The following is a 26,629-nucleotide window of genomic DNA, read 5'->3' on the forward strand; positions in this document are numbered from 1 at the left end:
TATGTCTTCAATTACTTGCCCTTGGTCATCTATGTGTAGACCTCAATTAGTAAGGTTAAATTTCCCACAGACCCCTCCTTCAGCTGCTAGTAAGTAGTCGAGAGCCAATCTATCTTGATAGGTAGGATTTCTCATCTGAGTTTCTTGCCAGGCCAGAATAGTCAAGGCTCTGCCAGTTTTATTAGTGGTTATTTCTAAGACAGCTTGTAACCATATCATTTGGTTGAGCATGTAAATGGGGTTGTAGTATCCCCACGAGCCGTATTGTGCCCAAGTAGCAGGCCCATAATATTGTGTGATTCTCTCAGGGAGCCATTCATCATCTTGCCAATTCCCTATGGCTATGCTTCTCTTTTCATGAGAAGCATAGACAGGGAAGCCAGGAGTTCACCTGTCTTTATGGGCAATAGGAAGAAAGATTGTTTAATAGTGCCAATAACACAACTACCTGCCCACTGGTTGGGTAATTTGGCATAAGCTCTATGCCCACATATCCAGTATAATCCAGTGGGGGCTGTCCAGTCCTGGTGGGACTCTGGGTGGGTCTACACGGTTTGCAACTTTGGGAATTTACTAAATGGATTCCTTTCTGTGTGATTTGAACTGTACCAAGTGACTGTTTTTGTGGTACCATTATACAATTTATGTCCCAGACAAATAAGTTGTCCTATGGGATGAGTGAATTATTTTCCTTCTCTAGCTATGCAATATTGTCCAATAATTGAGGCTTTTAGGGCCCAGAAATTATCAGGGTGATTCTTTTGAGCCAGGAATTCAACAGGAACTGGGTCTATAGGTACTAATCCTTGGGCTTCCCATGGCCAATGATCTCCCATTACAGTTCCTCCACACACATAACATGAAGTGTTATTGAGAGACTGGGCTATGTGCTCAGATAATTGCAAAAACAAATTTCTTGTTTTTCTGGGAATTTTTGGTACTGGTACATTTAGTTCATCATAGGAAGTTTGAAACACTGTCTCAGGAGAGCGTTTGTAAACTTCTCCTCAAACTAAGATATTTACTTGAGGATCCCATCCAGACCCGTCAATTCCTAAGGTCACACACTCCTCTTTTTTCCAGTGAGGATCAAGGGGATTTGTTATTACTAGCTCTGTGGGGTTACATTTTCCCTTAATACAGGAAAGGCTATTTTTTCCTTCCTGAAAGTGGACTGGATCCTTTTCATTTTTTATCCAAGTTGCCCAAGTGACACAAGACCAATATCCACATTCATTGCCACACAATCCTAATTCATGACAAATGTACTTTTTTTCAGTCATATAGCCTTTTTCCCAACTAAAAGAGCGACCTTGCCTTCCTAACTTATTGCTATTAATGACAGCACTGGCATCAAATCTCAAGATTATGCGTTTGGGCACCCCTTTTTATTCTGTTGTGGTCAATACTTTACTTGTATCATTTATGAGTCCCCACCAGACTTCAGTCCTTAATCTTTGTTAAAAAACTGTGGACATGGGAGGCTCAGAACGGTCATAACACACATCTGGCCAGTCTTTTCCTGGGCTACATACCTTGTACTGAGTGCCATTATATAAGCATGTTCCTTTTAAAGTCCCTAGACATTCATAGTAACTATAGAACAGAAAGATTGTTTTAACTTGTTGCCCTACCTCGGTAACCTGATGTATACACTGAGAGCAGTCCTCCATGTGGGGAAAATCAGTGGAAGTTTTTACTATACAAGCCCAAATTATAAGGAAGATGAGTCCCACGATGATCCTCCTCATGCTTTGGCCGTGCATAGACCAGTCAGCTTCTGGGTGTGACTGGAGCAGGGCTTGTCGTCCTCCTCAGAGTCACTTTGTAGGGGGTGTCCGGGCTCGGTTTTGCCTCCCAGGTTTCAGCGGCTGCAGGTTTCACACAGCTGTGGTGGATCCAGGCTGGGATTCCTTCTACCTTTACAGCTGTGGGGGTGGTCAGGATGACGGTCTGAGGTCCTTTCCACCGTGGCCTCAAAGGGGCTATGTTGCAGTCTTTGATCCAAATGCAATCACCTGGAGAGAAAAGGTGAACTGGGGAGAATAAGCTGATGGGACATCTCTCATTTACCCAAGTTGAGATTGTTTGTGTAATTTTTCCTAAAGCCTGTAGCTGTCACTGTAATTCAATTTCACCTAACTCTCAGGGAATGCCTGGAAGCCCCCATAGTATAGGAGGAGGTCTATGATACAGTATTTCATAAGGGGAGTATCCTGTTTTCTTAGAAGGAGTGCATCTAATTTTAAACAATACCATAGGAAGGGCCTGTATCCACTTTAATCCTGCTTCCTGACATACTTTCCCTAAACTATTTTTAATAGTCCGAATCATTGGCTCGACCTTTCCGGAACTCTGAGGTCGGTAGGTGGCATGTAGCTTCCAAGTGATTCCTAATGCCTTTGCTGTCTTCTGTACCAAGTCAGCCACAAACACTGGCCCATTATCTGAGCCGATTCATAAGGGCAGTCCAAACCTAGGAATAAGATCTCAGAGAAGCACACAGGTTACCTTGGGGGCCTTTTCAGTTCTTTTTGGATAAGCCTCCACCCACCCAGAGTAAGTACACACAGGAACCAGCAAATACTTGTTACCTGCACATTTCTGTGAAATCCACCTGAGGATCCTGAAAAGGAGCTGCTACATAAGCTTGTATGCCAGGCAGAACAGTGAGACATTGCCTCATATTGTGCTGTCGGCAAGTAACGCACTGTTTGGTACTGCTTTGGCAAGGGCTGGGAAGCGTGAGATGTAGAAGTACCAGCCTAACAATTTTTCAAATGACTCTTGACCTAGATGAGTGGTTTCATGCATGGCCAATACAATTGTGGCTCCCAGCAACTGCAGCACAGCTACTCTCCCATCTGGCAGTCTGATCCATCCTCCTTTTATTACTTGCCCCCTTCTGTGTGGAAGAAGTCTTTTTCTTTCTTAGGTAGGTACCAGGTCAGGTATTTGAGGGAGTAAGGGGGCTGCTACTGATGCCTAGTATGGGGTAGATGCTGCTTTTCGAGCTTCTGAGTCAGCTCGGGAGTTTCCTAAGGCCACTGAGGTGGAGCCTCACTGGTATTCCCTGCAGTGCATGACTGCCACCTTCTGAGGTTTCCACACTGCCTCCAATAATTGTAGAATTTCTTGTTGATATTTTATGTCCTTTCCCCCAGAGTTTAACAGGCCCTTTTCCTTATATAATGCTCCATGCACTTGGAGGGTTAGAAAGGCATGTCTAGAGTCAATGTAGATATTTACAGTCTTACCTTCACTGAGTTCTAGAGCTCGAGTTAAAGCAGTGAGCTCAGCCTTCTGGGCTGAAGTGCCCTGTGGCAATGGTTTGGTTTCAATGACAGCATCCAAAGTTACCACCGCATATTCTGCACATCTTTCTCCTTGTGGGTTGATGAAGCTACTCCCGTCCAAATATAACTCCAAGTCTACTGATGCCCATGGCTGGTCCCTAAGGTCAGGTCTGCTAGAATAAACTGAGTCCAACACCTCTACACAGTTATGCTCGACTGGGCTCTCTGATACTGGGAGCAGGGTGGTGGGATTTAGGGTGTTACAGACTTCAATGTTTATGTGGGGATTTTCACATAGCAAGCTTTGGTACTTGGTTAATCTAGCATTTGTTAGCCAATGGTGTCCTTTGGTGTTCATCAAAGTTACCACAGCATGGGGGCTTTTATATTCAGATTTGGCCCAAGGGTTAGTTTATCTGCTTCTTGTGCTAACAGGGCTGTTGCTGCCAGGGCCCTTACACATGGTGGCCAGCCTTTGGAGACCCCATCTAGTTGTTTTGAGAGATAGGCCACTGGCCTTGGCCAGGACCCCACAGTCTGGGTTAAAACTCCAACTGCCATTGTTTCTCTTTCTGACACATAGAGTGCAAAAGGCTTTGTCAAATCTGGTAGTCCCAGGGCTGGGACCAATGTAAGTTTTTCCTTTAACTTACAAAAGGCTTGCTGTTGTAGAGGCCCCCATTCAAAAGGCTCCCAGTTGCCCCCCTTTGTAATGCCGTACAAAGGTTTGGCTAGCACTGCAAAGTTTGGAATCCATAATGTGCAAAACCCCACAGCTCCCAGGAATTCCCTTACTTGCCTTCTGGTTTTAGGTTCCGGTAGGCTGCAGATGACCTGCTTTCTTTCTGACCACAGGCTGTGCTCCCCTTTCCAAATAGTGAATCCCAGGTAGCGTACCTGCTGTCTGCAGATCTGAGATTTCTTCTTGGGCACCTTATACCCACAGTCCTCCAGGTGCTGAAACAGGGCATCAACCCTTTTGAGCACCCAACTGCCATGGAGTGTCCCAGCAGAAGGTCATCCACGTACAGGAGCAAGACATAGCTTAGGTCTTTAGCAGGAAACTTTTGCAAGTCTCAAGTCAGAGCCTCCCCGAAGATAGTAAGGGAGTTCTTGAACCCTTGGGGAAGCCAGTTCCAAGTGTACTGAGTAGTGACACCTGACTGTAGATCTTCCCACCGAAACGCAAACAGCTTCTGGCTCTCAGGAGCTATTCTGATGCTACAGATGGCATCTTTTAAGTCCAGATGGGTAAACCAGATGTCCTCAGCCGGCAGCAGCCCTAACAACGTGTAAGGGTTAGGAACTGTTGGGTGCAGAGTCACTGTAGCTTGGTTGACCAAGCGCAAGTCCTGTACTGGTTGGTAGTCCTTGGTCCCTGGCTTAGGGACTGGCAGGAGGGGGGTGTTCCATGGACACTGGCAAAGAACTATAATTCCATAGGCTTTGAAGCACCTGAGATGAACCCGGATTCCTTCGAGAGCTTCCCTGGGAAGGGATACTGCTTTCATCTAATCAGTTGGGCCCAGGCTTAACTTCTATGAGTATGGGGGCTTGGTTGGCCGCCAGTCCTGGAGGATTATCCTCTGTCCATTCTCAAGACCAACGCTCAGCTAGAGCTGGTTGTATCTCTTCCCATTCTTCTTCCCAGGGGACTGTAAGGACAATGATAACTCCTGTTCCCAGTAACTTTAGCTGTAAAGAGCCGTGTTTTGTAAAGGAGATGGTGGCTGTCAGCTTGCTAAGCAAGTCTCTTCCCAGCAAGGGCAAGGAACAGCCAGGCATGTACAAGAACTGGTGAACTACTTCATGTCTTGCCACCGAGTAGGTCCGTGGCAGACAGTAAGTCTACTTAGTAGAAACTCCTGTTGCTCGGATTATATCAATGGTTTTCTTGGACAAGGGGGTGACCGGGGTGGTCAATACCAAATGTTCAACACCTGTATCAACCAAAAACTTAATATCTTTGCCCCCAATTGTAATCCTGACCGTGGGCTCCTTGGGGGTGATTGAGCCCAGTCCCCTTCAGTCCAATAGCCCTTCAGCCAGATTGAATAAAGCTCCCTCATCTTTATCTGAGGTCTTTTGTTCTGAATCATGTTGCTTTTCCTTCAGTTGGGGACACTTATTTTTCCAATGTCCCATTTTCTTACAATAGGCGCATTGGTTACATTGCAAGCGTGGGTGATTAGACAGGGTATTATTCCCAGAACCCCCCTTTCCCTCTCCTTTTGGGGGAATTCCCCTGATGGCCACAGCCAGTAAGTTGGCGTTTCGCCTGGCCTGGCTTTCACCTTCCTTACGGCTTTCTCTGTGGCTTGTTGCATCTCTATTCAAACACTTGATTGGCTATTTCCAGTAACTGTGAGATATTCATACACTTAAGCCCAGCCTGTTTCTGCAGTTTTCTCCTGATATCTTCCACGCTTTGACTAACTAAGGCCATGTTGATCATGTGCTGATTTTCAGGGCTATCTGGATCAAAATGAGTGTACATACTGTAAGCCTCACACCGTCTTTCATAGAATTGCGCTGGACTCTCCTCTTTTTCTTGGATGACCTCAGAGATCTTATTTACACTTGTAGCCTTTTAAGCCCCTTTCTTTAGACCTTCTATTCATGCATCATGGTACTGTCTTAGCCTCTCCATGTCTGGTCACTAGTTCAGGTCCCATTGGGGGTCTGTTCCTGGCAGCTGAATTCTTATATATTCTTGGGGATTTTGGTAATCCACTGGGATGTGCTCCTCTGGCCACTTAGTTGCCACCCGGAGCACCCTTAGCCTTTCATCAAAGAGGTACATGAACAGCTGGTGGCAATCAGCCCAAGTAGGATTATGAGTGTGTATAATAGTTTGGAGCAAGTCAATTAAAGCTTGAGGCTTTTCAGTGTAAGCAGCAGTATTATTTTTCCAATTGATGAGGTCAGCAGAGGTGAAAGGTTGATACACAAAGTCACGCCTTTCCACCATGTGTCCATCCTCATCTACCCCAGTATATCACTGCTGTCTCAGGGGCATTTGGATTCCAGTCTTGGGCCGTAAGTGAGCTGCCAAGGGAGGAGTTTCTCCCGTGGCTTCACTTCCTCTTTTGTCTACTCTGGGTGGTCTAGGAGTGTGGCTATCTGGTGGAGGTGTGGGTGCTGTGGGCTCAGGAGTGGGAAGCCCTTCCTCTTGCAATTCTGACCATGATTCTTCTGGTATTGGGTCAGACAGGGCTTTTGGTGCCGGCTTCCCTCAGCAGGTGGAGTGAGAACCTTCCTTAACTAACTGTCCCTTTGCTACTAGTACTGCTGCTGCCTGTCCTCTTAACTACTGTGGGGGGTCCAAAACTAGCTCTAACCGAGAATCTTTATACAGGAACTGATCGGGGTGCCCTGGCTTGTAGGTTACACTGTGCCATACCTTCAATACAAGGGACCTGTTCAGGCTTCCTTCTGATGGCCAACCCACCTTTAATGCTGGCCAGTCTAACTCACACAAAGTTCTAAGTTTTCTTGGTGTCATAGTAACTCCATAGTCTCCCTTAAATCCCTTTTTGAAATTTTTCAACATAGCTCCTAGTGGGGTGGGCCTACTTTGTGCCTGACCCATGTTTCCTCGAGACAAAACACTGCGCTTACACCACATGCACACCACAAAACAAAAACAGGTAAAAAGGGCACACACACACTTTTTCAGTTTACACCAAACCAGAATCAGAACCAAAATCAGAGTATCAAGAAATCCAAGCCAGGTCAAAACCAAAACCTAAGTATCAAGCAATTCAACTCAACTCAAAAACAAAAAACCTAAGTGCTGGTATGGGCACGTCATGGGTGATCAGGCCACGCTTCCACTCAAATGGAGTAGGCAAGTTCCAAAGACTAGTCTTACCAAGTTTCAGATGTCTGGATTCCAAGTGCCAGTTCCTTCCTGATGTTCAGCCACTGCAGTGATCCTCCATGGGGGCCTGCCACACACTGCTCTGGTGAGGCATTCCACTGGCGCAGTTGCCTACCCGGGAGCACTCTCAGGATCCGCGTTGCTCAAGCTGGCCAGAGTCCCCTGCAGGGATGCTTCACAGGGCAGGCCTAAGCTGCCTAAGTGGCTGTCTCAATGGTCCTTTAATCACCTGCTTCCCAGTCAGGGAACCAAGAAATGTAGCAGGACAAGCTGCAGACAAAACCCCTCAGACACCAAGTTAAAGAAGGAAGGGCTTTATTAGGCCGGGAGCTTTGGCAAGACTCACATCTCCAACAACCAAGCTCCCCAAGTGAGCAATTCCTGTCCCTTTTAAGGGGTCACAACTCTAAGGGGGTCTGCATGAGAGGGTCATGATCAATTGAACAAGCAGGGGGTACATGACTGGGGGCTGCATGCACTGGTAATTAGAACAGAACAGAACAAGACAGGGATCTTCACAGTGCTTTTCTTATACAAATAACCAATTAGGTCAGGGGTCGATCTTTAACTACCAGGCCCAGGTTTTGGTGCCAGGCTGTCTGCTTGTGGATTTCATTTCTGCCTTTTAGTTTTTACTTCTTCTTTCTTTGGAAGCAGAAATTGGGCATAAGATAATATGAGGGGTGGTCTCCTCCCTTATTATTAGAGACCACATTTCACCATATTGGCCAGGCTGGTCTTGAACTCCTGTCCTCGGTGATCTGCCTGCCTTGGCCTCCTAAAGTGCTGGGAGCACAGTCTTAAGCCACCGAGCCCAGCCTCAGTGTAGGTTTCTTAACATCAGTTTATTGTGTTTATTGGGTTTACTTACGTATTATAAATTTAGACAATTTTCAATTCTGCTTGTACTCTTTAAGTCAACTTGAGTTTCAACTGAAAAATAAATAATGCATGTGTATCCCAATCAGATTACATGTGTATGCATTGTCACACATGTCCATGTGAAGAGACCACCATACAGGCTTTGTGTGAGCAATAAAGCTTTTTAATCACCTGGGTGCAGGCTGGCTGAGTCCGAAAAGAGAGTCAGCAAAGGGAGATAGGGGTGGGGCCATTTTGTAGGATTTGGGTAGGTAATGGAAAATTACAGTCAAAGGGGGTTGTTCTCTGGTGGGCAGGGGTGGGGGTCACAAGGTGCTCAGTGGGGGAGCTGCTGAGCCAGGAGAAGGAATTTCACAAGGTAATCTCATTAGTTAAGGCAGAAACAGGCCATTTTCACTTCTTTTGTGATTCTTCAGTTACTTCAGGCCATCTGGGTGTATATGTGCAGGTCACAGGGTATATGATCGCTTAGCTTCAGCTCAGAGGCCTGAGATTCTTGTCTTCTTATATTAATAAGAAAAATAACATAAAATAGTGTTGAAGTGTTGGGGCAGTGAAAATTTTGGTGGGGTGGTATGGAGAGATAATGGGGGATGTTTCTCAGGGCCGCTTCAAGCAGGATTAGGGGTGGCGTGGGAACCTAGAGTGGGAGATATTAAGCTGAAAGAAGATTTTGTAGTAAGGGCAATATTGTGGGGCTATTAAAAAGAGCATTTGTCATATAGAATGATTGGTGATGGCCTGGATGCAGTTTTGTATGAATTGAGAAACTAAACCAAAGACACAAGGTCTGAATAAGAGAAGGAGCAAAACAGGTATTAAAGGACTAAGAATTGGGAGGACCCAGGACATCCAATTAGAGAGGGTCCAAGGGGGTTCAGAGTAATTACTTGTTTGGTTGGTGAGTTTTGGGGCTCTATTCTTGACAGAGTCCTTTTTGTTAAGTTGGAGGCTGAGCTTGCTGAGGTATGTTCTGAAAAGACCATTAATCCATTCTACCTTTCCTGAAGATTGAGGACAGTAAGGGGTATGAGGTTTCAATGAATACCAAGAGCCTGAGAAACTGCTTGGGTGATTTGACTAGTAAAGGCTAGTCCATTATTAGACTGTATAGAGGTGGGAAGGCCAAACTGAGGAATTATGTCTGACAGAAGGGAAGAAATAACAATGGTGGCCTTCTCAGACCCTGTCGGGAAGGCCTCTACCCATCCAGTGAAAGTGTCCACCCATACCAAGGAGTGTTTTCATTTCCTGACTCGGGGCATGTGAGTAAAGTCACTTTGCCAGTCCTGGGCAGGGGTAAATCCCCGAGCTTGATGTGTAGGGAAGGGAGTGGGCTTGAATAATCCCTGAGGAGTAGTAGAATAGTAGATGGAACACTGAGAAGTGATTTCCTTGGGGATAGATTTCCATGATGGAAAGGAAATGAGAGGTTCTAAGAGGCAGTCTAGTGGCTTGTAACCTACATGGAAGAAGTTATGAAATGACTACAGAATGGAATGGGTCTGTGAGGCTGGAATGAGATATTTTCCTTGGTCCAAGAATCATTTGCCTTGTGTGGGAAGAGATTGATAGGTGAAAGTTTCAGTGGGGGAGTAGGTGGGAGTGACCAGATAAGAAGGAGAAAAACTGCCATGAGGGATAGAAGTTGGAATGCTAGCTGCTTTTTAGCTACCTTATCAGCATAAGCATTGTCCTAAGTGATGGGATCTGATGCCTTTTGATGGCTGGTTTTTTAGCTACCTTATCAGCATAAGCATTGTCTTAAGCGATGGGGTCTGATGCCTTTTGGTGGCCTTTGCAGTGAATGACTCCATCTTCCTTTGGAAGTAAAGCCGCCTTGACAAGAGTTTTTATTAAAGAGGCATTAATAATGGAGGACACTTGTATAGTGAGAAAACATTTTTCAGCCTATATAACAGCATGGGGGTGCAGGATATGGAAAGCATGTTTAGAGTCAGTATAAATATTGATGCATAGTCCCTTTGCAAGATTGAGGGCCTGAGTTAAGGCAACAAGTTTGGCTTGCTGAGAGGTAGCACAGAGGGGCAGAGCGGTAGCCTCAATGATAGACATGGAAGATACTATAGCATAGCCTGCCTTTGCTGGTGAGTGGCAATTAGGCCTGGTGGAACTGCCATCAATAAACCAAGTGTGATCAGGGTTAGGAACAGGAAAGAAGGAAATATGAGGAAATGGAGTGAATGTCAGGTGGATCAGAGCGATACAGTCATGTGGGCCAGTTGTGGTATCAGGAATAATGTGGGGGCCAGCCTAAAACAGTAAGGTCAAGTTGTTTGGACAGAAAGGCTACACAGTGCAGTCCCAGCTCTTGTGTAAGAATTTTGACCACACAGCCCTGTACTTCGGCTGCATGTAATGAAAAGGGTTGCGATGAGTTAAGGAGAGCTAGTGTGGGAGTAGCTTCTAGGGCTGCTTTTAAGGAATGGAAAGAGGAGTGGTGAAAGGATTTAGGATCTGTGGGGTCAGCTAGGTTTGCTTTTTGAGTTTATACAATGGTTTAGTCAGGATGGTAAAACTAGATATCCAAAGGCAGAAGTACCTAACCATGACTAGGAGGGAAAGGAGTTGTTGTTTTCTAGAAGGGGTTGGGGTTTGGGAGATTAGCTGGACACAATCGGTAGGGAGAGCACATGTGTTTTCATGAAGAATTATGCCGAGATAGGTAATGGATGAGAAAGAAATTTGGGCTTGACTGAGGTAATGGGAGCTGTCTGTGAAGCCTTGCAGCAGTACAGCCCAGGTAATTTGCTGAGCCTAATGGGTGTCAGCATCAGTCCAAGTGAAAGAGAAGAGAGGCTGGGATGAAGGGTGCGAAGAAATAGTAAAGAAAGCATGTTTGAGATTCAGAACAGACTAATGGGTTATGGAGGGGTTGTGGAGGGAGGTATTGAGGATAGGAAAGTATATGGTTTTGACACCAATGGGTGGATAGGCAAGACAATTGGTTGATAAGGTACAGATCCTGAAATAACCTGTAAGTCTTGTCTGGGTTTTGGACAGGTAAAATGGGGGAATTGTAAGGAGAGTTTATAGGCTTTAAAAGGCCATGCTGTAACAGGCAGGTGATAACGGGCTTTAATCCTTTGGGGTAAGGGTGATTAGGTTTTAATGGGATGGTAAGAGGTGCATGAATTGTCACCAAGGAGGGAGTAGAGGTGTCCTATACTTGTGGATTAAAATGGGGAGATACAAGGGGAGGATGTGAAGGAGGCTTTGAACTGGGGAAAAGGATGGCAATGAGGTGTGGCTGTAGCCTAGGAATAGTCAGGGAAGCAGATAATTTAGTTAAAATGTCTTGACCTAATAAGGGAGCTGGGCAGGTGGGGATAACTAAAAAGGAGTGCGTAAAAGAATGTGGTCCAAGCTGGCATCAGAGTTGGGGAGTTTTAAGAGGTTTAGAAGCCTGGCTGTCAATATCCACAACAGTTATGGAGGCAAGAGAAACACGCCCTTGAAAAGAAGGTAATGTGGGGTGGGTAGCCTCCGTATTGATTAAGAAGGGTATGGACTCACTTTCCACTGTAAGAGTTACCTAAAGCATCTGTGATGGTCCAGGAGGCTTCTGAGGTGATTAGGCAGTGTCAGTCTTCAGCCGCTAAGCCAAGAATATCTGGGAAGGAGTCAGTCAGAGAGCCTTGGGCTAGAGTTCCAGGGGCTCTAGGAGTGGCTGCCAGGCGAGCTGGACAGTCTGATTCCCAGTGGGGTCCCGCACAGATGGGACATGGCTTAGGAGGAATCCTGGGCTGCAGGCATTCCTTGGCCCAGTGGCCAGATTTCTGGCACTTGAAGCAAGATCCTGAGGGAGGCGGTCCTGTAGGAATGCCTGACCACTGTGGCTTAGGCATTTTGAAGTTCTTGTGTGCTGGAGGTGTGGCTGGGTTTTGTCTCATAGCAGAGGCAAGTAATTTTTACTCTTCTCTATTATTGTACACCTTGAAGGCAAGGTTAATTAAGTCCTATTGTGGGGTTTGAGGGCAAGAATCTAATTTTTGGAGCTTTTCTAATGTTGGGAGTGGGTTGGGTAATAAAATACATATTGAGAATAAGACGGCCTTCTGCCCTTTCTGGGTCTAGGGCGGTAAACCATCTAAAGTTGTTGCCAAATGGGCCATGAACTGGGTTGAGTTTCTATATTTGATGAAAAAGAGCCTAAATGCTAACTGATTTGGGAAAGGTCAGATAAAGAAAAAGGAGTGTTAACCTTGGCTATGGCTTCAGCTCCAGCCACCTTTTTAAGAGGAAATTGTTGGGCAAGTGGGAGAGGGCTAGTCATGGAATGAAACTGTAAGCCAGACCGGGTGTGAGGAGGGGAGGTGATAAAAGGATTATAGGGTGGGGGAACGGAGGCTGATGAAGAACTGGGACCTGGCTTGGCCTGGCGAGGAGCAGCTTGGGGAGGAGAGGACAGGTGGGTCTGTAGAAAAGGAAGATTGAAAAGACTCAGTGATGCTTGGGGTTGGGACTGAAGGGACAGGTGGGAGGGAAAGAAGGAGGATTTGTGATGAGTCGCATTGGGAACAGAGATTAGGGAGGGACCAATGTGTAAAAGAATGCCTGGACATCAGGCATCTCACACCATTTGTCTTTTTTGACAAAAATCATCCAGGTCTTGTAAAATGGAGGAATCAAAAGTGCCATTTTCTGGCTATTTAGAACCATTATAGAGTTTGTATTGGGGCCAAGTGGTGTTGCAGAAGAAAATAAGATGCTTAGGTTTTAGGTCAGGTGAGAGTTGAAGAGGTTTTAAGTTTTTAAGAACACAGGCTAAGGGAGAAGATGCAGGAATGGAGGTCAGAATGTTGCCCATAGTGAAGGATGTAAGTTTAAGGAGAAAGGTAGAGACATGGAGAAGAGGGTGGTGAGCAGCCCTGGGCTGCAATATGGGTGAGCATCCAAAGCAGGTGTCCCCGCAATTAACTTGCCACCAAGGGAATGTGGGTGAATGACCAAGGCAGATGTCCCCACGGTGATCAGACGCCAATGAAATGTGGGTGAATAATCAGGCAGGCATCCCCACAGTGATTAAACACCAAGGGAAAACTGTCTTCCTGAGTCTAAGACTGGCACCGGAGTTTTGGGTCCACGGATAAAATGTGTCTCCTTTGTCTGTACTAGAGAGGAAAAAGAACTGGAGTTGGAAGGACAGGGAGATTGAAGGGTAGCAAGAGAGGCTGGAGAAGAGAGTGAAAAGACCGCTTACCCGATTTGAAATTGGTGAGATGTTCCTTGGACTGGTTGGTCTGAGGACCCGAGGTCATAGGTAGATTTCCTCACGGAGTGAGGGCGGGGACAGGCCTCCCGAAGGATTACCTCTGTCCTGGGTTTTTGGCACCAAATGTCATGCGTGTCCATGTGAAGAGCCCACCAAACAGGCTTCGTGTGAACAATAAAGCTTTTTAATTACCTGGGTGCAGGCAGGCTGAGTCCAAAAAGAGAGCGAAGGGAAATAGGGGTGGGGCCATTTTATAAGATTTGGGTAGGTAATGGAAAATTACCGTCAAAGGGGGTTGTTCTCTGGTGGGCAGGGGCGGGGGTCACAAGATGCTCAGTGGGGGAGCTTCTGAGCCAGAAGGAATTTCACAAGGTAATGTCATCAGTTAAGGCAGGAACAGGCCATTTTCACTTCTTTTGTGATTCTTCAGTTACTTCAGGCCATCTGGATGTATACATGCAAGTCACAGTGGATATGATCGCTTAGCTTGGGCTCAGAGGCCTGACATGCGTGTTTATCTATAAATACGATGCCAATTTTACTTATGGCTTATCTCATATTCTTTGTTAGCTGATTTTCGATGGTAGTTTTATCTTGTCTAAGTGAGTAGTCGTGGAGATAGTCATTATCACGATGTGTTTAATGATGAATATATATTTTCTTTTTGTGAGAGAAACACTTTTGTGATTTGAAGTTAATTTTTAAAAAGATTTACCATTCTGTATTTTTGTCAGTTTTTCCTTGAAAACGTTGTTTTAAAAACACATAACATAAAATTTACCATCTTAAATTTATTGAAGTGTATATTTCACAGCCAGCTGTGGTTGTGGCTCTCATCTGTAATCCCAGAATTTTGGGAGGTCAAGACAGGAGGATATCTGGAGCTGAAAAGTTTGAGACCAGCCTGGGGAATACATGGAGACCCCTCTCCATAAAAAAAAACTTAATAGTAGCCAGGTATGGTGGTGTGCAGCTGTGGTCCCAGCTACATGGGAGATTGAGGAGGAGTCAAAATTGTGCCTCTACACTCCAGCTTGGGTGACAGAGTGAGACCCTGTCTCAAAAAAAAAAAAAAAAAAATGCTGTTCACTTCAGGCATGTTAAGTATATTCACATTGTTGTGCAAAAGATTTCTAGAAACTTTACATATTGCAAAACTAAAACTCAGTAACCATTAAGTAACAACATCTCATTTTACCCTCTCTCCAGCTTTTGGCAGACAAAACTTCCACTTTTTGTTTTTATGATTTTGACTACTTAAGATATCTCATATAAGTGGAATCATACGGTATCCATAATTTTGTTACTGGATTAATTCAACTGACATAATATTCTCAATGTTCATCTTAAAATGTGACAAGATTGTTCTTTTTAAGGTGGAATAATATTCCATCGCATGTATATGTTACATTTTTTGATACGTTTATAAATCAAGGAACATCTAGGTTGCTTCAGACTTTTGGCTTTTGTGAATACTGGTATAATAAAGATGAATTTTCAAATATGCCTCCCAGGTCCAGTGTTGCATTTTTTTTTTTTTTTTTTTTCCCGCAGACGGAGTATTGCTTTGTCGCCTAGGCTGGAGTGCAGTGGTGTGATCTTGGTTAACTGCAACTTCTGCCTCCTGGGTTCAATCGATTCTCCTGCTTCAGCCTTTCGAGTAGCTGGGATTATAGATACCCACCACCACACCCAGCTAATTTTTTGTACTTTTAGTAGAGATGGGGCCAGGCTGGTCTCAAACTCCTGACCTCAGGTGATCTGCCCCCTCAGCCTCCTAAATTACTAGGATTATAGGCTTGAGCCACTGTGCCTGGCCTTCGTTACATATTTTGGATATAGATTTATAAATGAGGAACATTTATAATTTTTAAAATAATGGCTGCATCTTTGTTTTCCACCAACATTCAATATGGATTTCATTTTTATTGTATCATCAACAGATTTGGTGTTTTAAAAAAATTTATCATGGCCATATTAATGGGTATGAGGTGATTTTGTTTGTCATTGTGGTTTTTTTTTCATTTCTTTACAAATTAGTAATTTTATGTGTCCTTTCAAATGCTTTTTCTCATTTGTGTACTTTTCTAATGAAAATGTTGTTTGTCCGTTTCTAAATCAAGTTATTCAACCTTATTTTTTAGTTTTAAGAGTTGTTTATATATTTTGAATATTAACTTCTTTCATGTTTAATTTGCAAATGTTTTCACCTATTTTCTAAGGGATGTCATTACTCTTGAATTGTTTTTTGGTATGAAGAAATTTTGAAGCCTATTGTAGTTAAAACTTTTCTGTTATTTCATTTGCTGCTCATGTATTTAATTTTGTATCTAAGAAAATGGTGCCAAGGCCAATGTCATGTCTTTTTCCTGTAGTTTTTCTAAAAGATTTGTTAGTTTTTTTATGTCTCAGCATTTTATTTAAAATATATTTTTGTATCATTCTAGGAAATAATCCAACTTAATTTTATCAGTGCTGATATTCAGTTTTCAACATCATTTTTTTGAAGAGATTATTTCTATTTTGTGCTCATGGCAACTTCGTGGAAGATCATTTGATCATATACAGAAGGATTCATTTCTGAGCTCTCTATTCTGTTCTTTCATCTGTTCATCTTTGTTTCTGTATCACATTGTTTATATTCTTTAGCTTTTAACTGTAGGTTGTATTGACATCTTTGAAAAATAACATTTTTTGACCCCTGAGCAAGAATATGTTGATGAAGAGTGTGTTTCATATTCACAAGGTTTTGAATTTGCCAGTTTGACTTTTGCTTTTAATTCCTAGTTTCATTCAGCTTTTGTTGGAAAACACACAGTGTATAATTTTAGTGTTTTTAAAGTGATTTGTTGTTGTTGTTTTGAGACAAGATCTTACTGTCACCAGGCTGCAATGCTGTGGCATAACTTTGGCTCACTGTAGCCTCAGTCTCCTGGGCTTGAATGATGCTTTCACCTCACTTTTCTGAGTGGCTAGGACTACAGTCATGCACTACCATGTCTGGCTAATTGTTTGCTTCTTTGTAGTGTTAGGATCTCACTATGTTGCCCAGGCTGGTCTCATACTTCTGGCACCAATGGATCCTCTTACCTTGGTCTCTCAAAGTGTTAGGATTATAGGCAAGAGCCACTGCACCCAGTCAGTATTTTAAAATTTAATAAAACTTGCTATGTGTCCTAACGGAATACACCAGATGCAAATAGAAATATTGCATATTATCTTGGTTTTGACTGGAGAGTTTTGTGTGTGTCTGTGAAGCCTAGTTGGTCTATAATATGGTTTGGATGTCCATGTTCTCCAAACCTCATGCTGCAAAATAAATCCTCAATGTTGGTTGTGAGACCTGGTGGGACATGTTTTTGTATGAGGGCATATTTCTCATGAATGGCTTGGTACATCCTCTTGGTAAACAAAAAGTTTACACTCCATTAATTCAAATGAGAGCTGGTTCATTAAAAGAACCTGGCTTCTTCACCTCACACTTGCTCTGTCTCTTACCATATAATATGTCCAGTTACTTTTTACCTTCTACCATGATTTTAAGCTTCTTGATATCCTCACCAGAAGCAGATGCTGACACACACTTCTTATACAGTCTGCCAAACTGTGAGCCAAATAAACATTTTCCTTTATAAATTATGCACTCCCATGTGTTCCTCTATATGCAAAATAACTAATATAGTCTATAATGTTGTCTCAGTTTTCTGTTTCTTATTTTTTATCTGAATTCTCTATTTATTTCTTCAAATGGGGCCTTGATGTCTGCAATTATTATGTCGCTATGTATGTCTTGCTTCACTTTTGTCAATATTTGCTTTATATATTTTAAAGCCCTTATGTTATTTACACATATACATATAGATAGATAAATACTATAAATTCCTGCTAAATCAACTCACTTTACCATAATATAATATCAATCATTGTCTCATGGTAGTACTTAAAGCATATTCTGCCCAATATAATTATGACCACCTCACTCACTTGTGGTTACTATATTCATGGAATATACATTTTTTTATTCTGTTACTTTCAGCCTATTTGACTCAATGATTAAATTAGTCTCTTGTAGGCAGCATACTGTATGCTTTATAAAAAACCACTCAGGCATTCTATATCTTTTTCTTTATATAATTTTATATATATATATATACACACACACACATATATATATATACACAAGTGTATGTATATATATATATGTGTGTGTGTATGTATATTTTTTTCCAGATGGAGTTTCACTCTTGTTGCTTAGACTGGAGTGCAATGGTGTGACCCCAGTTCACTGCAACCTCTGCCTCTCAGGTTCAAGCAATTTTCCTGCCTCAGCCTCCCAAGTAGGTGGGAGTACAGGCGCCTGCAACCACACCCAGGTAATTTTTTCTATTTTAAGTAGAAATGGGGTTTGACCATGATGGCCAGGCTGGTCTTGAATTCCTGATCTCAGGTGGTCTACCTGCCTCGGCATCACAAAGTGCTGGTATTACAGGCATGAGCCACCACATCCAGCCTTGTGTATTTTGGAGATAGTGTCTCACTCTGTCAACCAGGCTGATTTGCTCGGTTCACTGCTGCCTGAATCTCCCAAACTCAGATGATCCTCTCATATCAGCCTCTCAAGTAGCTGCATTACAAGTATGTAACATCACACCCAGCCAACTTTTTTTTTTGTATTCTTTGTCGAGACAGATTATTGCCATGTTGCCGATTCTGGTCTTGAACTCCTGGGATCAAGTGATCAGCCTATCTTGGCCTTCCAAAGTCCTGAGATTATATTTCATTTTATTAAGTAGTTTAATACGTTTAAATTTAAAATGATTCCTTAAAGAAATGAAGTTGTTATTTCCAGATATATTGTTATTGTTTCATGTGTTTCTAGTAGTATATTTTTCTCATTTCCTTTTTTACTCTCTTTAATTTTGTACTGGCATGCTTTGATTATTTTTTGTTTTATTTTAGATACTTTCTTTAAACAGAATCTTTGCAATCATCTTGAAAACTGTAGATTACATACATCTTACAGTTAAAGCAATATATTTTAATCTCATGACAACTTCAATTGAATACAAAAACTGTGCCTCTATATTTTCCAGTTTGTTGTTGATTTTTTTTTATTAAAATGTGCATCATTCTTTTATTTTTATTTATTTATTTTTTATTGATCATTCTTGGGTGTTTCTCGCAGAGGGGGATTTGGCAGGGTCATAGGACAACAGCGGAGGGAAGGTCAGCAAACAAACAAGTGAACAAAGGTCTCTGGTTTTCCTAGGCAGAGTGTTTGTGTCCCTGGGTACTTGAGATTGGGGAGTGGTGATGACTCTCAACGAGCATGCTGCCTTCAAGCATCTGTTTAACAAAGCACATCTTGCACCGCCCTTAATCCATTTAACCCTGAGTGGACACAGCACATGTTTCAGAGAGCACAGGGTTGGGGTTAAGGTCATAGATCAACAGGATCCCAAGGCAGAAGAACTTTTCTTAGTACAGAACAAAATGAAATGTCTCCCATGTCTACTACTTTCTACACAGACACAGCAACCATCCGATTTCTCAATCTTTTCCCCACCTTGCCCCCTTTTCTATTCCACAAAACCGCCGTTGTCATCATGGCCCGTTCTCAATGAGCTGTTGGGTACCTCCTCCCAGACGGGGTGGTGGCCGGGCAGAGGGGCTCCTCACTTCCCAGTAGGGGCGGCTGGGCAGAGGCGCCCCTCACCTCCTGGACAGGGCAGCTGGCCAGGCGGGGGGCTGAGCCCCCCACCTCCCTCCCGGACGGGGCGGCTGGCCGGGCCGGGGGCTGAGCCCCCCACCTCCCTCCCGGATGGGGCGGCTGGCCGGGCGGGAGGGCTGAGCCCCCCCACCTCCCTCCCAGACGGGGCGGCTGGCCGGGCGGGGGGCTGACCCCCCCCACCTCCCTCCCGGACGGGGCGGCTGGCCGGGCAGAGGGGCTCCTCACTTCCCAGTAGGGGCGGCCGGGCAGAGGCACCCCTCACCTCCCGGATGGGGCAGCTGACCGGGCGGGGGGCTGACCCCCCCACCTCCCTCCCAGACAGGGCGGCTGGCCGGGCAGGGGGCTGACCCCCCCACCTCCCTCCCGGACGGGGCGGCTGGCCGGGCGGGGGGCTGACCCCCCCACCTCCCTCCCGGACGTGGCGGCTGGCCGGGCGGGGGGCTGACCCCCCCACCTCCCTCCCGGACGGGGCGGCTGGCCGGGCAGAGGGGCTCCTCACTTCCCAGTAGGGGCAGCCGGGCAGAGGCGCCCCTCACCTCCTGGACGGGGCGGCTGGCCGGGCGGGGGGCTGAGCCCCCCACCTCCCTCCCGGATGGGGCAGCTGGCCGGGCGGGGGGCTGACCCCCCACCTCCCTCCCGGACGGGGCAGCTGGCCGGGCGGGGGGCTGACCCCCCACCTCCCTCCCGGACGGGGCGACTGGCCTGACGGGGGCTGACCCCCCACCTCCCTCCTGGGCGGGGTGGCTGCCGGGCGGAGACGCTCCTCACTTCCCAGATGGGGTGGCAGCCGGGTGGAGGGGCTCCTCACTTCTCAGATGGGGCGGTTGCCAGGCGGAGGGTCTCCTCACTTCTCAGATGGGGCGGCCGGGCAGAGACGCTCCTCACCTCCCAGACGGGGTCGTGGCCGGGCCGAGGTGCTCCTCACATCCCAGACGGGGCGGCGGGGCAGAGGCGCTCCCCACATCTCAGACGATGGGCAGCCGGGCAGAGATGCTCCTCACTTCCTAGATGGGATGGCGGCCGGGCAGAGACCCTCCTCACTTTCCAGACTGGGCAGCCAGGCAGAGGGGCTCCTCACATCCCAGATGATGGGCGGCCAGGCAGAGATGCTCCTCACTTCCCAGACGGGGTGGCGGCCGGGCAGAGGCTGCAATCTCTGCACTTTGGGGGGCCAAGGCAGGCGGCTGGGAGGTGGAGGTTGTAGCGAGCCGAGATCACACCACTGCACTCCAGCCTGGGCACCATTGAGCACTGAGTTAACGAGACTCCGTCTGCAATCCTGGCACCTCAGGATGCTGAGGCTGGCGGATCACTCGCGGTTAGGAGCTGGAGACTAGCCCGGCCAACACAGCAAAACCCCGTCTCCACCAAAAAAATACGAAAACCAGTCAGGCGTGGCGGCGCGCGCCTGCAATCGCAGGCACTCGGCAGGCTGAGGCAGGAGAATCAGGCAGGGAGGTTGCAGTGAGCCGAGATGGCAGCAGCACAGTCCAGCTTTGGCTTGGCATGAGAGGGAGACCGTGGAAAGGGGAGGAGAGAGGGGAGAGGGGAGACGGGAGAGGGGAGAGGGGAGGGGAGAGGGGAGGGGAGCCGGAGTCACTCTTGTTCGAACGCCTCCAACACTATGACTAAGTAAAGGAGAATTTCTGTTGTTGATTTTAAAATTATTCTATATGGTGTATCTATTAACATTTATGCGGATTTCCATATTTTTATATTCTATAAAAGTACTTTAAAGGTTTTGTGTACCATCATTTTGTTAGTTTGTTTTGTTTTGTTTTGAATCGAGTCTTGCCCTATTGCTTAGGACGGAGTGTATAGATGTGATCTTAGCTCACTGAAACCTCGGCCTCCCAGGTTCAACAATTATCCTGCCTCTGCCTCCCTAGTAGCTGGGATTACAGATGCCTGCCACCAAGCCTGGCTAATTTCTTGTATTTTTTAGTAAAGATAGGCTTTCACTATGTTGGACAGGCTGGTCTTGAACTGCTGACCTCAGGTGATCCACCTGCCTCAGCCTCTCAAAGTGCTGGGCTTACAGGTGTGAGCCACAGCACCCAGCTGGAAATTACTTTTTATCTCACTATTCATAGCATTTCATATCAATACAAAGATTGACACATCTAGATATAAATATACATAGGGAGATAAATACTCACATAGAGAATTCTATAAATATTTCTATCTAAACATTTATGTATACAAAACATGTTCCCCAAAAGACATTTTTAATCTTTTAGCATGCACTGAAGATGCTGATGTAGAATTACTTCTTTTTTCTTTTGCTAAATAACATGTCAGAATGGAACATAGTTATACAATTTTGTTTATGTAAATATCAACAAAGCTCTATCTTCAAAGGCAGGCCACAGAAATAAGCTGAAAAGAAAGTCATGTAACACATCTGTCCAGGACAGTATTTCAGCACTCTGCATGTCTCCTCATTCTGTGCATGTTGTGTTCACACCTACCATTTGGGGCCTGTCTCGACAAAGCCACAGTCACCATTTAGATAATTTGATAATTGTATACACCTGGGCTGAGCTACTTGGCTGGTTGGGATCACCTGGGCTGTGCAAACTGGCTGATTGCAATCACCTGGTTTCTGCTAATTTGCTTAATTTATCTCAGCTTCAGGGGTAGAATACGGAGATGTCATCTGACCTACTTTATTTCTGAGGTTTTTTTTAAGGGTCATATGCAGAAATAAACATTTCATAGACATACCCATGTGACTCATTTTGTGTGTATATGTTTATCGAGCCACCTATTTTGTATCTATATGTACAGAAAGAAGCCTATAAAATAAACTTGATCTGAGGCTATTTCCATTTTCTTTACCTACAGGTTAGGTAAATCAGTCAGCTACTGAGCTCAGTGAAGATTTATTCAAACCAAGCCACACACCATATTACATTTTTTCATAAATGTAAAAATATCTTTAATAACCTGGAACCTGGGTGTTTTTAATTCTCATCCCATTAAACCAGCCCCATGAGGTTCTGTTCGTCTATCTAGGAACTGCCAGAAATGCTTGACATCAGTGGGCTGAGCCTTCCTCACAAAGCAGATTTGACCTGGCAAATAAGAGCCACCTGTGGCACTTCAGTGAATGTTCACTATCACCCATTTGAAATGTGGCCAAGTACCATGTACCATTATATTTGCTTCCATCATCATCATCATCTATCTTCTAAAAAGAGACCTAGACTTCTTTTTCATTACCATAAATACCTGACTTCTGCCTCAAAGACAAAAAGACAAGAGTGTGATTTTACATCACACACTCTTGGAAATAAATACAGTTCTTGTCTTGATGAAAGTTCTAAAGAGAAAGAATAAGTATTCTCATATTTAGGTTAGGACCTTTGGACTGGGGCTGGTTCATCTCTGACCCTACATACAACAATAAAAGAAAAGTCAATCCTGACATGGCAGTAAATAACTCCAAAGGCCTTAGTAAGTATTCATCTTCCAGAAGCGCACAACAAAGCCCAGTGCTTCCTTTGAATATATTAAGTGCAGCAGGATGTATATCAGAGCATTCCTCTATTTCTGTACTATTCTAGATATAGTATTCTATAGGGAAAAGATTTTTATACATGTATGAAAGGTTTTTGTATTACTGTTTGTAGCAATAGCTATCAATACTTCCACATTCAATGTCTTTATTCTGTATGAATATATATAAAGATTGTTCCAGCTTCATATATATATACTTATACATATTAGGTATGTATATGAATATACATACATGGTAGATACATAAACACAAACATATGAATGTGTCTTTGTAAATATTAATGTATACATATAATATTCTCCCACTTTTTAAATTATAGAGCGTATACTAAGGATGCAGGTGTAGAATTAATTGCCTTCTGTTTTGCTCAGTAGCATGTCAGAATAAAACATAGCCATACAATGTTGTTTATAGAAACATAAAGGTTCAGCTTCAGGTTTCAGGCCTTGTAAAGCTGTGTGGTATATACTGTCCAGGTGAGCAAATAAGGCCCTGCATTTCTTTTTGGTGTGCATGGGCTATTTACATTTACCATTTTGGGCATACCTGAATGAATCTGTAGCCACTAGTTAGATAATTAGCTGATCGGGATCACCTGGGCTGAGCTAATTGGCTAATTGAATTCACCTGGACTGATCAGTTGGTTGATTGGAATCACTTGGGCTGAGCTAATTCACTGATTGAAATCACCTGGACTGAGTGAATGGTGGTTCAAAATCACCTGTGCTAAACTAATGGGCTCATCAGTTGAGCTAACTGGCTGATTGGTATCACCTAGAATAAGATAGTTGGCTGTTAGAAATCACCTGGGCTAATCAGCCGGGCTGAGCTAATTTGCTGATTGGATTCTCCTGGGATGTGCTAATGGGCTGCTTGGAATCCCCTAATTGGCTGATTTAAATTATCTAAGCTGAGTTAATTGATTCAGAAAAGTTGAACACTGAGCTGGGCCGGTGGCTCATGTCTGTAATCCCAGCAATTTGGGAGGCCGAGTCAGGCAGATCATTTGATGTCAGGAATTTGAGACCAGTCTGGCCAATACAGTGAAACCCTATCTCTACTAAAAATACATAAATTAGCCAGGCTTGGTTGTGGGTGCCTGTAATACCAGGTACTGGGGAGGCTGAAGCAGCAGAATCGCTTTAACCAGGGATGTGGAGGTTGCAGTGAGCCAAGATTGTGCCATTGCACTCCAGCCTGAGCAAGAGTGAAACTCTGTCTCAAAAAAAGAAAAAATATCTATCTATCTATCTATCTATCTATCTATCTATCTACTGTCAGAGGATGATAACTTGAAGTATTTTAGAGATGTTAAGAATCTGAAATTATTTTTACTTTTAGTTTTTATAAATGTTTCTTAAGCATTTTTAATTTCCAAAAAACTTGTAAATAATGTTGTCAGTTTAATTTTTCTGAAGAATTTAAATAGAGTCAAATTATACATATCAAAAAATCTACTTTTCTGGTAGTAGATCAGCTTAATTTTCAGAACAAATGTGTTAAACTTCACGAGATTTTATGCTGACCAATTTGATCAGTAGCCTCTTTCATACAACTGGGAGAGATGACACCAAGATGTAGCATTCATGTTGGGTGAGAGACTAAATGACTACCAGTAGCTAGATAATTTCTGTTTTACTAATAAATGTTTATTTTCATTTCTATATTGTCTCAAGTTATGTTAACAATAAAGTAATAACCTTTATCCAGGAAATTTTGAAAACTTATTTTTTAATCAGCCATAACAGTAAGCAAAGACAGAGAAATGAAGGTTTTTACCAGTCATAATTTATATATTAAAATTAAAATACTTCTAGAAATAAAGAAGGAAAGGAAGAAAGAAATATACAAACAAATGAAAAGCAGCCTGGTCAACATGGTGAAAGCCTGCCTCTACTAAAAATACAAAAATTAGCCTGGTGTGGTGGCATACACTTGTAATCTCAGCTACTCAGGAGGCTTAGGCATGAGAATCACTTGAACCTGGTAGGCAGAGTTTGCAGTGAGCTGAGATTGTACCACTGCACTCCAGCTTGGGTGACAGAATGAGACTCCATCTCAAACAAAACAAAACAACAACAAAATAAAAGAGAAGGAAGGAAGTTGATTACTCACAATAGCTAAGGTTTGAAATCAACCTAAGTGTTCACCAATAGGTGAATGGAGAAAGAAAATATGGTATATATACACAATGAAATGCTATTCAGCCCTTAAAAATAAGAAAGTCTTGCTATTTGCAACAACATTCATGAACCTGAAAGATATTATGTTAAGTAAAATAAGTCAGCACAGAAAAAAAACAAAATCCTCGTTTTTTTTTTTTTTGAGATGGAATTTTGCTTTTGTCACCCAAGCTGGAGTGCAGTGGCACCATCTCCACTCACTGCAACCTCCAGCTCCCAGGTTCAAGAGATTCTCCTGCCTCAGCCTCCTCAGGACCTGGGATTACAGGCATGTGCCACCACACCCAGCAAATTTTTATATTTTTAGTAGAGATAGGATTTCCCCCATGTTGGCCAGGCTAGTCTCAAACTCCTGACCTCAACTGATCCACCCACCTCAGCCCCTCCAAGTGTTGGGATTACAGGCGTCAGTCCCTGTGCCCAGCCCACATAATCCTATTTCTATGTAAAGTGTAAAAAAAAAAAAAAAATTAAACTCATAGAAGCAGATGGTACAATAATAAAACAAACAAAAAATCCCCTATAAGGTTTTTTGTCTGGTTAAGAGAGCTTCTTCAGGATTTTTCAGGGGTTATATTTTCTTTTATTTTCCACATTTTCCTGTTCTTCAGCCAATGGATGAAAAAAGATACAGAGAAGACACATTTACCTTTTATCCGCTTCACTTCCATTCACTATTATTCAATGTGGATACAGATGAGAGTAGCAGTTTTCTAGTAGGACAGCCACTTCTCTGCAATAAACAAAAAACTGAAAAAAAATTAGCATATGCATCAGTAACCCTTCTAGTAAAATAAAGATTAATTTTGTTGATTTCTATTGAGTTCCTGTAATATTTGATCAAAAGCTAGCAAAAGCACAGTAGAAAAGGAAAATTGTTCTAAATAAGAATATTGTGAATGGTTATTTTGTCAATATAAGTAAAAATATGACCTCACACTAATAGTCTCACCTATAGTTGTACAACATCAAATGCTAATTTTTATTTAAAATTTTATTTCATATAAGTATTCAATTTATATCACCTGCCTCTGCTATTTCAATGCCTCCTTCACTTTATATCAGTGAAAAACAGGCCAGCAGGTCCTAGGAAAGCACGTCGTGCTATTGCTACTTTAACAATAAACAGGTCAAGCATGGTGGCTCATGCCTGTAATCCAGCACTTTGAGAGGCCGAGGTGGGTAGATCACAGGGTCAGGAGCTCGAGACCAGCCTGGCCAATATGGTGAAACACCGTCTCTACTAAAAATACAAAAATTCCCAGGTGTGGTGGCTCACGCCTGTAATCCCAGCACTTTGGGAGGCTGAGGCTGGTGGATTGCTTGAGGTCATCAGTTCAAGACCAGCCTGGGCAACATGGCTAAACCTCTTCTCTACTAAAAACACAAAAAATTAGCTGTGCATGGTGGTGGGTGCCTGTAATCCCAGCTACGCAGGAGGTTGAGGCAGGAGAATCTCTTGAACCTGTGAGGCCAAGGTTGCAGTGAGCCAGGATCATGCCACTGTACTAGACCCTAGGCAACAAAGTAAGACTCCTCTCAAAACAATAAAATCAGCTGGGCGTGGTGGCGGGTGCCTGTAGTCCCAGCTACTAGGGAGGCTGAGGCAGGAGAATCGCTTAAACCCGAAAGCCAGAGGTTGCAGTGATCTGAGATCATAACACTGCACTCCAGCCTGGGTGACATAGCGAGACTCTGTCTCAAAAAACAAAAAACAAAAACTGATCATGAATAGCACTTTTTTGGTTGCTACACACGTGTCAAACACTGTTATTTGGCTTAAGGTACTGGTTTTTTTTTTTTTCTTTTTCTTTTTTGAGATGGAGTTTTGCTCTTGTTGCCCAGGCTGGAGTACAATGGCACAATCTCATCTCACTGCAGCCTCTGCCCACAAG

At 43.9% G+C, this 26,629-nt stretch overlaps 1 protein-coding gene and 1 long non-coding RNA gene across 8 annotated transcripts in view; one reads left to right on the top strand and one right to left on the bottom strand.

The window, feature by feature from the left end:
* LOC105372316 (uncharacterized) overlaps positions 1–26,629 on the top strand; it is a 98,054-nt gene that overhangs the window by 37,625 nt on the left and 33,800 nt on the right. The window lies entirely within an intron of this gene.
* Positions 19,610–26,629, bottom strand: part of ZNF737 (zinc finger protein 737) — a 35,506-nt gene continuing 28,486 nt past the window's right edge. For 3 of the 7 annotated variants that reach the window (XM_047438008.1, XM_011527598.4, XM_047438007.1), the window contains one exon: positions 24,179–25,467. In XM_047438008.1, coding sequence (XP_047293964.1) covers positions 25,396–25,467 — 72 coding nt within the window. In that variant the 3' untranslated portion in view covers positions 24,179–25,395. Of the gene's footprint in view, positions 20,657–24,178; positions 25,485–26,629 lie in introns of those variants that run through there. The other 4 variants (XM_017026117.3, XM_011527599.4, XM_006722597.5 and 1 more) reach the window with 3 other exon arrangements.

Source organism: Homo sapiens, chromosome 19, assembly GCF_000001405.40.
Source record: "Homo sapiens chromosome 19, GRCh38.p14 Primary Assembly".
Classification (NCBI taxonomy): Eukaryota; Metazoa; Chordata; class Mammalia; order Primates; family Hominidae; genus Homo; species Homo sapiens.